The sequence below is a fragment of the Homo sapiens genome, chromosome 8 (assembly GCF_000001405.40).
Source record: "Homo sapiens chromosome 8, GRCh38.p14 Primary Assembly".
NCBI classification, from domain to species: domain Eukaryota; kingdom Metazoa; phylum Chordata; class Mammalia; order Primates; family Hominidae; genus Homo; species Homo sapiens.
The window spans coordinates 127,856,959-127,871,613 of NC_000008.11; the positions used below are offsets into that span (position 1 = coordinate 127,856,959).

Genomic DNA, 14,655 nt, shown 5'->3' on the forward strand with positions numbered 1-14,655 from the left:
CTCATGCCTGTAATTCCAGCACTTTGGGAGGCCGAGGCAGGTGGATTGCTTGAGGTCAGAAGTTCGAGACCAGCCTGGCCAACATGGCGAAACCCTGTCTCTGCTAAAAATGCAAAAATTAGCTGAGCGTGGTGGCAGGCACCTGTAATCCCAGCTACTCGAGATGCTGAGGCAGGAGAATTGCTTGAACATGGGAGGAAGAAGTTGCAGTGAGCCAACATTGTGCCACTGTACTCCACCCTGGGATACGGAGCAGGACTCTGCCTAAAAAATAATAATAATAGTAATATAATAATAATCCGAGAGTGCTTACCATGTGCCTACATTGTTCTGGGATACTGAGATGAATAAGACCTCTTTTGGGCTCTTGATGACTTGGTTATAAGAAGAGGCAGCTCGGTTCCCCCAGGGACTCTCAACAGTTAGGGACAGGCTGGGGCATGGTGGCTCCTGCCTGTAATCCCAGCACTTTTAGAGGCTGAGGCAGGAGGATGGAGTATGTCCAGGAGTTTGAGACTAGCCTGGACAGCATAGTGAGGTCCCATCTCTACAAAAAATAAAAAATTAGCTGGGCATGGTGGTGTGTGCCTATAGTCCCAGCTACTCAGTAGGTGAAAGAGGAGGAGATGGGAGAATTGGTTGAGCTCTGGAGTTGGAAGCTGCAGTGTGCAGTGATCACACCACTGCACTCAGTCTAGGCCACAGAGTGAGACTGCCTCAAAAAACAAAACAAAACAAAGCAAAAACAATTAGGTACAGAAAGGGAGGAGCATCCACATTTTCTGACATTGTTTATTGCTTTTTTACCCTCATGTTCTCCCCTCTCCTGGCATTGCCTGGCACTTGGGAGAAGTTTCATAAATATTGGTCGAATGAATGAATGGATATTAAATCATTTGTGTTTTCTTTTGTGAGTTGAAACCGTCTTCAAATGAGTCTTCAAAGTGCTCTGATTCGTATGGTGGAGTGTGATGAAGTTAAACTCTGGGTTGAGAAGAGAGGAAATGTGAGTTAAGGAAATAAAGAGAATGGAGTTGAATGTTCAGAATCTTTGGAGTGCTGTCAGGGATCCATGATTCTGAATTCAGTTATCATCTTTGGTGTGAGAAATCCCCAAAGATTCAAACTTGTCACCAGAAAGGTGGTCTTAGGCTGGGTGTGGTGGCTCATGCCTATAATCACGGCACTTTGGGAGGCCAAGGCGGCTGGATCATTTGAGGTCAGGAGTTTAAGACCAGCCGGTCCAACATGGTGAAATACAACATGGTGTATTTTGTGTCTCTATTGGAAATACAAAAATTAGCCGGGCATGGTGGCGGGTGCCTGTAATCCCAGCTACCAGGGAGGCTGAGGCAGGAGAATCACTTGAACCTGGGAGGCGGAGGTTGCAGTGAGCGGATATTGTGCCATTGCACTCCAGCCTGGGTGACAGAGTGAGACTCTGTCTCAAAATAAATAAATAAATAAATAAATAAATAAATAAATAAATAAAAGATGGTCTTGAGGTTTCGGTTTGGGCATAGGTTACCTTCTGCAGAATGCATGTGAGTGATATGGAGACAAGTTTTAACATGGGCACTTTTTGAAAACAGACATCTTAAATATTGGCCAAAAGGCCAGATGTCAAAGTGGACTTTCTATTTTTGATGGAAAATTTCAAGCCTGTTTTCTGTAAAGGAATGATTATTGTACAAGGATTTCTGGAACTGCAACTGGCCCATAGATGGTGGCCATTATAGTAGTTTCCTATGAAATCTACTAATGTACAGCAAGCAGTTCTGTGACTTTCAGTCACCACTTGGTTTCTTTTTTTTTCTTTTTCTCTTGTGGACTACACTTGAAGATTCTTTTTTTTTTTTTTTTTTTTTTTTTTTTGAGACAGGGTCTTGCTTAGGCCGGAGAGCAGTGGTGCTATCATAGCTCATTGTAACCTTGAGCTTCTGGGTTCAAATGATTCTCCTGCCTCAGCCTCCTGAATAGCTGGGACTTTGGGTGTGTGCCACCACGCTTGACTAATTTGTTTACTTTTTGTAGAGACAGGGTCTTGCTATGTTGCCCAGGCTGGTCTTCAACTCCAGAGCTCGAGTGATTCTCCCGTCTTAGCTTCCCAAAGTGCTGGGATTACCAGCATAAGCCACCACACCTGGCCTGAAGGCTCGTTTGTAATGGCACTCTTAAGTGAGATAAATTGAGTATTTTCTTCCTCACAACCTTCTTATGCTTGTCTGTAGTTGGCTGTCTCATTTTGGACAATTTTGATTGTCGGCTTGGCTCTTCAACTGCCTGTGTTGTTGTATTCTTAGAACACACAGAACAACCAGGTCTGGGCTTCTTATCTTGCGAGGCAGGTGAAGAAAGACTAGGAACAATGTATTTGGGTGCCCACCTCATACCGGCCATGACCTTCTATTGAGGAACAGCAGGTAGATGAAGCAGCTTTCTCATATTACGCCGTGGCTGACTCCAAACTTGAACTCTGGTCTCTGTTTTTGGAGCTTGCTTCCTTCCTACGACCCTAGACTGCTCCTCCTAAATAATTAAGTGGCAAACATGGCACAGACAGTAACCTCACATAAGAAGCTATGAGGTTAGGACAGAAATATCCACTGCTGGCCTGCGAACTATTCACACAGGTCTGACTCCCCGCCAGAGTCCTGGCTGCCCTGGTCCTGTGGAATCCCGTCATGGCTTCTGTCTAAACGGAGCAGGCTCAGGGCCATGCTGAACTTGGAGAAATCTGTGCAGGAGTCAGATTTGGGCTTTAGAGTCACCTGGGGTTGAATCTCGGGCCTGCTATTTATTGAACCTGTCCTAGCCTCAATCGCCTTATCTGTACCATGGGGATGATACCATCTAGGTCGAAGGTAGTTGCAGGAGATTCTCATGCACGGAGGCCCTTGGCCGTCATTTGTTTCTTTGTCTCTACAAGCAGAGAGGCTGAGTCATACAGATCCTGAGGGGAGATCACTTTCTCTTCCCTCCTTTCGTGTGTCATCTCCACCTGGGTGTGGTGAGCCCCAGGAATAATGCTGTGACATCAAGCCCCGTGAACACCTCCTTTCACACGGACCCCGTGACTGGCTGCGGCTGCCAGCGGTGATGAGAACTGATGACACTCCAGGGCTACCAGGAACGGTGTGTGTGCCTCTGGGCAGGGCCACTTCCTAGAACCATGGGGCTGCTCTGTGAAGAGAACCGGCTCCCAGTGAGCTCCAGGAGACGAGGAGCAGGTCCTGGTGGCGGAGGTGCTGGCGCAGGAGGCCGGCTCCTGGCAGAATCGGCTTCCAGCTCTGGGCACTGGGGTGCGGTGTGGGACCAGCAACAGGCTGCTCCTCTGCCAGGAACCGCCAGAACCAAAGTCTTCTCGAAGGCATCTTCAGAAGGCAAGCACAGGGCTGAGCACTCCGGAGAGGAGCCTTTGGGGGAAAACTTTTTCTCGGAGCTTCGGAGCTCAGGGAGTACTATGGGGGAGATTCACTAGGTTGATGCTTTGCTGATAGGCAGCCCTGTAGAGAAGACAAGGCAGCTGGGCATGGTGGCTCAGGCCTGTAATCCCAGCACTTCGGGAGGCCAAGGTGGGCGGATCACAAGGTCAGGAGTTCAAGACTAGCCTGGTCAACATGGTGAAACCCCGTCTCTACTAAAAATACAAAAAAATTAGCTGGGCGTGGTGGCACGTGCCTGTAATCCCAGCTACTCGGAAGGCTGAGGCAGAAGAATTGCTTGAACCCAGGAGGTGGAGGTTGTAGTAAGTCGAGATCACGCCACTGCACTCCAGCCTGGGTGACAGAGCAAGACCCAATCTCAAAAAAAAAAAAAAAAAAAAGGAGAAGACAAGGCGACAACTGTGAGCTTTCTGTCTCCTGTGGAGTTTAGCACTTGGTCAGGTGGCCATTTCTCTCCCTCCTACTCGGTGACCTTCTCAAGGGCAAGGGGCTCCTTGAAGAGTGTCTTTCACATTGAAACATGCACAGAATGGTGGCTTATGACCCATGGTAGAGGCGTGAACTTGGGATGCCACTGTGGACGTGTCCCCAGCCTCCCTCCTCATTGGTGTACTGATATCGTGTTGCCTTGGACCTATTACCTCACCTCTTCCTGGTGATTTCACCTCAATATCCCCTTTCTCCTATGCTTCTGTTTTTCCTTCTACCCTTCCATGTTTTTTTCTCCCAACCATTCTTCTGTATTTTATTCCACCCAGCCACCCTTTCATCTAACCAGCCTTCCACCTAGCTAGGCTTCCAACTAACTATCCTTTTTTATTGAGACAGAGTTTCAAGTGGCACAGTTGGGCCACTTGTTTCTGATGGGAGCCACTTCTCAAACAGGTCGATGACTAGGACTTTGGACAAAAGCATGGGTGCAGGCTGGGCGCCGTGGCTCACACCTGTAATCCCAGCACTTTGGGAGGCCAAGGCGGGTGGATCACCTGAGGTCAGGAGTTTGAGACCAGCCTGGCCAACATGGCAAAACCCTGCCTCTACTAAAAATTGATCAAATATAGATCACCCGTAATTATCACCCATCATTCTGACACTTAGCAATAGTCACCCTTAACATCTTGTTGTCTTGCTTTCAGATGGTTTTGTTTTTGACATGTTTTTTTTTTTAACTTATATTATGACCATCTCCTCTATGTCTTTTAAAGTTTTAAAAACTTGTTTTGAATATCTTTTCCATATTTCATTATGCACCTGTACAGGAAAGGTACTCCATAAGTAGGTTTTTCTTCTCTGTAAAATGGGGAAAATAAGAACCCCTTCTACATGGGGTTGTTGCGAGGATGAGGTGAAGAAAGTTGTCAAAGCCCCTCGCTAGTACCAGGCACAGAGCAGGTACTGGGCGCATGTTGCCTGCTACTGGTATTATTGTCATTGTCATTGCTAATCATCAGCCAAGTCAGTCCTGCGGGGCTTTCAGATTTCCTCTGCTTTTACCTGTTGCAAGGTATAAACCTTTTCATGTGTCTCTGATTGTTTTCTTGGCAGAGCCACCCACACCCCAGGAATTTAATAGGGTCTTGATGCATTCCCAGCTTGCTGTTGAGGAGTATTTAACCAGTCACCACTCCACAGGCAATATTAGGGGTTGCTGAGGCAGCCTCCAATAGTGTGAGCATTCTAATTACTGCAGCAAACTCTTTTAAAAAAATTTTAACTTTTCTGGCTGGGCGCGTTGGCTCACGCCTGTAATCCCAGCACTTTGGGAGGTCGAGGTGGGTGGATCACTTGAGGTCAGGAGTTCGAGACCAGCCTGGCCAACATGGTGAAACCCCATCTTTATTAAATATACAAAGATTAGCCAGGCGTGGTGGCAGGTGCCTATAATCCCAGCTATTCAGGAGGCTGAGACAGGAGAATTGCTTGAACCCAGGAGGCAGAGGTTGCAGTAAGCTGAGATCATACCACTGCACTCCAGCCTGAAAGACAGAGTGAGACTCCATCTCAAAAAAAAAAAATTAACTTTTAATTTTTATTTTTTAGAGACAGGGTCTCGCTTTTTCACCCAGGCTGGATTGCAATGATACGTTCATAGCTCAGTTCATAGTTCATAGCTTAGACCTCCCAAGCTCAAGAGATTCTTCCACCTCAGCCTCCCACAGGTGCACACCACTATGCCCAGCTAATTTTAAAATATTTTTTGTACACATGAGGTCTCACTATGTTACCAGGCTGGTCTCAAACTCCTGGCCTCGGGCAATCCTGGACTCCCCAGATGCTGGAATTATGGGTTGAGCCATAGCCTGCAGCAAACTCTTAAAACATGAGGGGAACTATCTTGTTATAAAGTTGCTTTTCTTTGACTACTGGTGTGGTTGGCCAGCTTTTCATGTTTATGGCTTATTTGTGTTTGTTAACTGGTCATTTCCTTTGGGGTGTTAGCAATTTTTTTCTCATTGATTTGTAAGATCTGTCTTGATTAACTTGTGAATTTTGCAGATGGTGGAACCGGGGTGCCCCACAGTAAGTCCCCTTTGTTAGGCATCCTGTCCCTGGATTCGACACCTCCATTTCTATGGGGGACATTTCTTTACAAATCTGCATCTGATTGTGATACCAAACCATGCTTTGCAAGTGAATACAAGGATCTACCCCATTAATCTGGGCAGTTGCTAGTTTTATTTATTTATTTATTTATTTATTTATTTATTTATTTATTTATTTTTCCGAGACCGTGTCTTGCTCTGTCACCCAGGCTGGAGTGCAGTGGCATGATCTCGGCTCACTGCAACCTCCGCCTCTTGGGTTCAAGCAATTATCCTGCTTCAGCCTCCCGAGTTGCTGGGATTACAGGTGTCCGCCACTGCGCCAGCTAATTTTTTGCATTTTTAGTAGAGATGGGGTTTCACTATGTTGGCCAGGCTGGTCTCGAACTCCTGATCTCATGATCTTTCTGCCTCAGCCTCCCAAAATGCTGGGATGACAGGCATGAGCCACCGTGCCTGGCCAGTTGCCAGTTTTTAATGTTCTCAGGTGAGTGGCATTTGCCAAGGAACTTCTCTCTTCCCTTCTGTCTTCATAAACAAAAAATCCTACTAACTTCAGGTGTCAGTTTAAAAGTCATCTCTTCTGGGAGCCCCACCTTAAACCCCTAAATCAGCTGTTGGCGTCGGGGGTGGACTTCTCCTTTGTTGCACCAATTGCAATTTCTTACTTAGGTGTGTGCTTGTGGGAACATTTTTGTAATATCAGCTTCTCTGCTAAGGACAGCGATCATGTCTCTTTTATCATTTGGTATGTGTTGCTGCAGCACTTAGCACAGTGCTTAGCTTGGAAGCCAAAGCCCAGAGGGGTAGAATGACTTGCTTGAGGCCCCTCAGCTTGGACCTGGCAGATCTGGGACCCGGTGTCTGGGCCCACCTTCAAGCTGGATCCCTCAGGACCCTGTGTACCTGTGGCCAGGGCTTTGCTTTGGTGCCTGGATGAGAGTGGTAAGAGTTGCTGAGGTGCCAGGCCTTTGCCCCCATGCCCGCTGGCATCACTGATTCCAGGTTATTTTGGCTCAGCGCGGATGGAGCGAGATGTAGGGGAAAGGTTGGGACCGGCTTCCAGGTGATTGGCACATCCCTGCCCTAAACCCTGCATGGCTTTCCTGGGCCTGCCATCCAAGGGGAAAGAAGCCTCTTTCCTCACAAGCTGAAGCTTGAAACCAATCAAGCTCCAGGCCAGAGAAGCTGCAGGTGGGGTGTGGTTTGCAGTGGGGGTGGGGCAGGAAAGAAAGGTTACGTGGGGTGAAGGGGTCAGGTCAATTCAGTGTGGGTTGGAATGCTGGGGTCCTGGGTGAGCAGGGATGAAGGACACCTGGGGAGGGGAGAGAGCCTGCCGGCTGGAACTGGGGCCCTGCCAGTCCCCCGCTGCATGAGTCTGGGCATGCTTCCAATCTCTGGGAGCCTCAGCCTCCTGTCTGTAAAATGGAGCTAATGAGGCCTGCCGTCAGGGTTTGTGGGCAAGATTCAGTAACTGGATGCCTGCTCCTGGCCCTTGGCAAGCATTCAATAAATGTTGATTTCTCTCCCACCCCTCGCTCCTTCTCTTATTCTTTTCCTGTTGCTTTTCACACGGACATGTGTTGAATGTGGCAGGATATTTCTTTCTTTTTTTTTTGAGACAGAGTCTTGCTCTGTCACCCAGGCTGGAGTGCAGTGGCGCGATCTCGGCTCACTGCCAGCTCCGCCTCCCGGGTTCACGCCATTCTCCTGCCTCAGCCCCCTGAGTAGCTGGGACTACAGGCGCCCACCACCACGCCCGGCTATTTTTTTTGTATTTTTAGTACATATGGGGTTTCACCATGTTAGCCAGGATGGTCTCGATCTCCTGACCTCGTGATCCGCCCGCCTCAGCCTCCCAAAGTGCTGGGATTCCAGGCATGAGTCACTGCGCCCAGCCAGGATATTTCTAACACAGAGAAATTCTCAGTGGAGGCCGCGGGAACTAGAGATAGAGGTCCTCTTGCCTACCAAAGCACCAGATGGAGGTGACAGAGGCCATCTTGTCCTAGAGGGACCTGGCTAAGAGGATCTAAGACCAGAACTAGTCTGAGTGCTTGGGATTCATATGGGGCTGTAGACGGCAGGCCTGCTTGAACACCAGTGTTCCAATCCCACATCTCATTCTTAGAGCTGTGTGGCCCTGGGCGAGTCTCTTGCCACTATTTCTTCATCCTGAAGTGGGCACCACATTACTGCACCTCAATTTGGACGAGGATTCTCAGGATGGGGAGGTGGTTGAAATCATCCAGGGGTCACTGGAATCAGGATGGTCCTGGCTTTTTCAGAAGGACAAGGTGGTAGGTGCCAATCTGGGGGCTTTGCAGATATTGAACGGCAGCCTGAGGATGGGGATAAACCTGGGTGTGGCAGACAGAATTATGCTTCCCCCAAAGAGGTTCACATCCTGATCTCTGGAACATGGGGATGTCATATGCCATACAGAGAAGGGAAATTAAAGTCACAGGTGGAATTAAAGCTGACCTTAAAAGAGGGAGATCCTTTTAGATTATCCAGAGGGCCCAGTCTCATCACAGAGTCCTTACAAGTGGGCGAGAGAGGCAGAAGAAGGGTTCAGAAACATGTGAGGTGACAAGTAACATTGCTGGCTTTGAGGATGGAGGAAGGAGCCATGAGACAAGGAATAACCGTCCCTAGAAGTTGGAAAAGGCAAGGAAATAGGAACTCCCCCAGAGCCTCCAGGAAGGAACACAGTCCTGCTAACACTCAGTGAGACCCACTTTGAACTTTGTATGTTCAGAACTGTATCATAATAAATGTGGGTGGATTTAAGCCTCTGAGTTTGTACTAGTTTGTTCCGGCAGCCCTAGGAAGTGAATGCAATGGGCGCAGCATTTGATGGCCAGCCTGGCATCCAGCCTGTGGGGAGTGGGAGCTGAGGGCAGTCCAAGGGAAATGTCCTTTGAGTGTGGCACCGGCAGGCAAACCCTTGTTTGGGTGTGATCATCAGTGAGTTGGGCCACTGAAGCTGCCTGGTGACCTGGCAGGGATGGCTTAAGTAGGCAGGGTTTGCAGATCAGCGAGATAAAGGGGCTTGCATAAATTCACATGCCCATGGCTTCTCCCTCTGACAGCGCAGCCCTGCCTCCGGCTGCCTGGCCAGGATGGCGTGTTGGTGCATTAGGGACCCCTTCCTCTCCTGCCCTGCTGTTTAAATTGTTGGTCTGTTGGCGTTCTCAGGAGCCCTTTACCAGTACCCTTAGGCCCCAGACGACCTACTCCTCAAGCTGATCATATCTGCTGGCTGTGTCCCTGCTCTGGGCCCAGCACCCTCATGGTTTTCCATAACACGTATCCCAACTCCTGCTGATGGGACCCTCGTGAGCTGTCTGTGTAGGGAGCATGGCTGCCCCTGGGTCTGCTTTCCTGCCCCTGACCCACAGGAATAGGATGTGGCAGAGTGGGGGCCAGATGACAGAGATGCTGGTGCTCTCTGAGCTGAGGCCCACTGCTGACCTGCTGGTGGCTTGTCCTGCTCTTGGATCATAGGCACTGGGACATCCTGCCTTCCTTCAGTGTCCCCTCCCACTCCCTCTCCTTCAGCATCAGAGGAATGAAGGAGGCCTGGAGGAGTAGCCCCTATCTAATAGAGACAGGAGTGGGCTGGGTGAGCATGGGGTGGTCGCAGGGGGAAGGGGATAGGAGATGGAGAGAGGAACCTGCTATCTGGTGGGTTCCAGGATGGTGACAGACAGTGGCAGAAGCAGTGCAGAGACCTTAGTTTGTGCTGGAGGTTCAGTTAATCACTGGTGAAGGCAGACATCACTGCAGGAGACCAGACTGTTATGTATTGTCTGTGCATTCATATTAGTACACAGGGAAGATCTTGGGCTCCGAGACCTAGGCAGATCTTGCCTCCCATCTGCCGACCCTCCGCAGATGCTACACATTATGCCAGGTAAACACATTATCAAGGAGCCTTGGGCCGTGTTAGAGGAAGGCTCCTTGTGCCTGTGAGGAGTTTGCACTAATGCTATGTGTGTTTGTGTGTAAGGCTTGCATTCACTGATTCACTGTAGAGGATGACTTGAAACCCAAGTCATCAGCTGGGCAGTGCATGGGCTGCTCGCCTGAATGGTGAAGCTCTACCAAGTGGTTTCCACCTAGGGCCTGGCTTAGCTGGCCTCAGATGCCCTTCTCAGTTCTGCTCAAGACCTGCCTGCGGCCTTCCTCGGGCTTGCTTGCCCAGAATGCTAGGAATGGCCAGGGATACTGCCTGGGCATGTGTTTGGCCTCAGCCAAGGTCAGGCTGTCAGGAAGGAAGAAGGGGGAGGGGCACACTTGCCTGGGAGGGTGGAGGAGGAGGGGTCCAAGCCGCCACAGCCTGGCAGTCCTTTTTTGTGCAAAGGAGACCCATCAGCTCCTCTGCCTGGAACACCCCCATTTACTCCTCCGCAGTTAGAGGGGTGGGAGGTGAGGAATTTTGTGAGGGGAATTATCTCTGATCTTGATGTGCACATTCCTCGGCAGTATCCCGGGCTTGGCCAGCTTGCTGACACCTGGCTGGAATAACAATGAGCGATGCTTCTGGAGGATGCTCCGCTGGGGAGGGCTCTGCTGAACCAGCACTTACTCCCTGCTTTTCGATCCTCACTCTGCCTTCCTGTCTGACAAAGGCCGGGCTGTTGGGATGGTAATGCCCTCTGGGCTGGCCTTGATTGAAGGTAAAAAATGAACTTCGAGGATAGCCCCTGTGGCTGTGCAGTCTCATTTTTTATGCAGATATGTTGGGGGATGCAGAGACATGGTGGCGGGTGGGGTGGGGAGAAGGGGACTGGGAAATCTGAGACCTGAAGCTAAGATCTGAGATGTCATCCTTTATGGAGCATCTCCGGATGAAAATGTCCCAGAGGCCCTAGGTCACTCACCCTCTGCCCCCTAATAAAATCACTGTTGCTGCCTCCTGCTGAATCTGAAGTATGCCTTCACTGAGGGCAGGACGTCCATCTCAACTATTATCAAAGGAAAACATAACAAGAGGCAACAGCACAGCCCCCGGGGCATGAGGCTCCTTCCTCTGTGATCCCTCTGTCCTTGTCTGCCAGTGTTTTTTTCCTTGACTTTTAAAATAATCTTTTTCTTATTATGAAATAGATATTTATTTTGCTTAACAAAGAATTCTGTAGTCCTTCTAGAAGCTAGGTAACTCTTCTAAGTCCTTTGCAAATATTAAGTCATTTAATTTAATCCTAGAGCAGTTCTGCGAGGTGGTGGGAAGACCTAGAGAGGTTAGGGTCCACCTTAGCACTAGCTCTCTGAGCTATAAGGCCTCAGGGTCTGTGGCATTCCCTACTCACTGAAAAGAAGGGAATTTAAAACATGAGTTCCACCACCCAGAAATGAAACAGTGTTCATTTCCAGAATCCAGGCATATGGTTGATTTTACCAATTTCCTGTCACTTGAATCACAGTTTTTTTTGTTTGTTTGTTTTTGTTTGAGATGGAGTCTCACTCTATTGCCCAGGTTGGAGTACAATGGTATGAACTTGGCTCACTACAACCCCGACCTCCTGGGTTCAAGCAATTTTCGTGCCTCGGCTTCCAGAGTAGCTGGGGTTACGGGTGCATGCCACCACACCCAGCTAATTTTTTTGTATTTTTAGTAGAGATGGGTTTTCGCCATGTTGGCCAGGCTGGTCTCCAACTCCTGACCTCAGGTTATCCACCCTCAGATTATCCACCCTCCTACACCTCCCACAGTGCTGGGATTACAGGTGTGAGTCACTGCACCTGGCCCACAGGTTTTTTTTAATAGTCCTGTGTGTATAATTTTGCATCCTATTATTTCTCCTTCCTTTTAACATATATATATATATATATATATACATATATATGTACATATATATATATATGTATGTATTATCTCTTTACTTTTTAAAAGTTTCTCAGACTTTAAGAATTACTTAAAATTTCCCAAAACAAACCCACAGGCACTGCTGTGATCTTCAGGCACACTTTGGTATTCAGGAGTTGCTTCTGCTGGACCAAAGTCAATAACAAGTAGCTTAAGAAGCTGTAGATGGCAGAGATAATATTGACTGGAGGCTTAGGGGTCTGGTTCAGGGTGGACTCAACAATTTTGCAAGTTCTATATTGTTAAAATTACAATGAATTATTTATAAGCAGTTGTTAGTAAATCATGAAGTTGGCATTATTATTCTTTATTTATTTATTTATTTTGAGATGGAGTCTCGCTCTGTTGCCCAGGCTGAAGCGCAATGGCATGAGTTCGGCTCACTGCAACCTCCACCTCCCAGGTTCCAGTGATTCTCCTGCCTCAGCCTCCTGAGTAGCTGGGATTACAGGCATGCACCACCACACCCGGCTAATTTTTGTATTTTTAGTAGAGATGGAGTTTCATCATGTTGCCCAGGCTGGTCTCGAACTCCTGACCTCAGGTGATGCACCCACCTCCTCCTCTCAAAGTGCTGGGATTACAGGTGTGAGCCACCACGCTTGGCCTATTTTTTATTATTAAAAAACAAAATGATGCTGATGCTTTCAAATATGTATTGCAGTCTTATTACTTAGTATTGAGCTTTGCAGTGTTGGACTAATATCACAAGTCGAAGGGACAAAGAAGATGGTAGACAATACCAACTGTTTCCCATTAGGCTCTTTCCCTCCTCTTGTTTTTCTGAGACCTTAAGGGCCTGGTTGTTTCTACTGTTCCCTGCTACTTCATAACCTGCAAGCTTGAGAATGTTTGTCATTTACAAATTTTACCTTATAGTAGAAGAACATAGTAAATAATTGTACCAGATTGAGTAGTGTCCCCCCAAAATTCATGCCTGTATGAACTTCAGAACATGGCATTATTTGGACATAGGGTTTTTGTTTTTGTTTTTGTTTTGAGATGGAGTCTCGCTCTGTCACTCAGGAAGGAGTGCAGTGGCGTGATCTCGGCTTACTGCAACCTCTGCCTCCTGGGTTCAAGCTATTCTCCTGCCTCAGCCGTCCGAGTAGCTGAGATTACAGGCACCCGCCACCAGGCTTGGCTATTTTTTGTACTTTTAGTAGAGACAGGGTGTCACCATGTTGGCCAGGCTGGTCTCGAACTCCTGACCTTCAGTGATCCTCCTGTCTCGGCTTCCCAAAGTGTTGGGGTTACAGGCACGAGCCACTGTGCCTGGTGGACATTGGGTCTTTTTAGATGTCATTACTTAAGATGATATCATATTGGATTAGGGTGGGGGCTAAAGCCAATGACCCATGTCCTCAGAGGAGAAGAGAGGGACATAGGAAAGAAGGATTTGTAGAGATACAGGGAGAAGGCCATGTGACCACAGAGGCAGAGATTAGAGTGACACAGCTACAAGCCAAGGAGCTCCAAGGATTGCAGGAAGCCACCAGATGCCAGAAAGAGGCAAGGAAGGATCTTTCATGGAGCCTTCAGAGGGAGCACAGTCCCGCTGACACCTTGATCTTGGACATCTAGTCCCCAGAACTGTGAGAGAGTGCATCTGCTGATGTAAGCCACCCAGTTTGTAGCAATTTGTTATGGCTGCCCTCAGAAACTAAGACAGTAGCCAACACAGAACCAAATACCCTTTGGGGATTGAGGGAAGTGGAGCGGGAGAATGAGCGGCACTCCCTCCCTTTACATAGGACTACTTGGTAAATATTTACTGAATGAAGGAAAGCTGAAGTATCTGTAGAACTGGCCATTTCATTCTGCATTTAGAGCTCTGGGAGCTCTTGAAATGTCTAGACAAACATCCTCTTCAGCTAGAGGAAGCTCCTTCTCCCACTTACTAGCTATGAGATCTTGGGCAGATGGCTTAACATTTCTGGGCCTCAGTGACCTTACTTGCAAAGTTGTCTGGGTCAAGGCAATGATTAAATGCGATGATGCATGTAAAGCCCCAGCATGCAGCCTGAAAATGTGAGCCCTTATTATTTATACTGTTTGCCAAAGTGGTGAGTAGTGTTGCTGAATATGCCGTGTGTCCTATTAACTCTGTGACGGCCACAGTCACGTCTCCTTTCTGCCTCCTCCTCCTCCTCCTCTCTGTCCAGTGACTAGGGAGGGCAGGAAGTTCAGAGGGTGAAATGCTGAATTAATTCCTGTCCTCCTGGTCTATATTCCAGATCACCCTGTGGGTGGGTTGAAAACCATGCCCTGTCTACCTCCTCTGCAAGGAAAAAATAAAGACAGAGAGCAAATCTAAAACACGCAATGCAGAGGAATGGTTACTGCCTGCTGTGTGCCTCTCCAGGGAGCACCAGGAGGGGCTGTGTGGGACAGGGACACTGCGTATAAGTGACACTCCTCCACATTTTGGCCTGGAGTTAGCACATACAACTGCCTTTTTGCTGACGCGATGCCCAGGAGCCCTCTCAGGGGATGGCAAATCTCAGAATAAATGTGTTTTTTACTCATGGAATGCAGGGGAATGGATATGAAAACTTTTGTATCAAATAGACATTAGCGAGGAGAGGGATGCTTCACATCCTAGGTTTGTGTGATGTCGGCACAGCTGATGAGGTCTTTGCAAATTTTGCTGCTGAGGAAGGGATGCGCTGGACTCCCAGTGTCCAGGGGCCCTCTGCTTGTCTGTCCTTAGGCAGAGTCCACCAGAATCGGGTAAAGTATGTGACTGCCTCTTAGTGTAGGGCATGACGTCAACTGTGAGGAGAAGAGA

General features: G+C 48.3%; 1 long non-coding RNA gene across 51 annotated transcripts in view, besides 1 other annotated feature; it reads left to right on the forward strand.

Annotated features, from left to right (window-relative positions):
• PVT1 (Pvt1 oncogene) overlaps positions 1–14,655 on the forward strand; it is a 306,733-nt gene that overhangs the window by 62,435 nt on the left and 229,643 nt on the right. The window lies entirely within an intron of this gene.
• Positions 10,137–10,744: an enhancer, noted in NCBI's record as "OCT4-NANOG-H3K27ac-H3K4me1 hESC enhancer chr8:128879341-128879948 (GRCh37/hg19 assembly coordinates)". NCBI's record gives its function as "activates a minimal SCP1, AML or CMV promoter by ChIP-STARR-seq in naive H9 embryonic stem cells {active_cell/tissue: H9 hESC(naive)}" and the evidence as "EXISTENCE:reporter gene assay evidence [ECO:0000049][PMID:30033119]".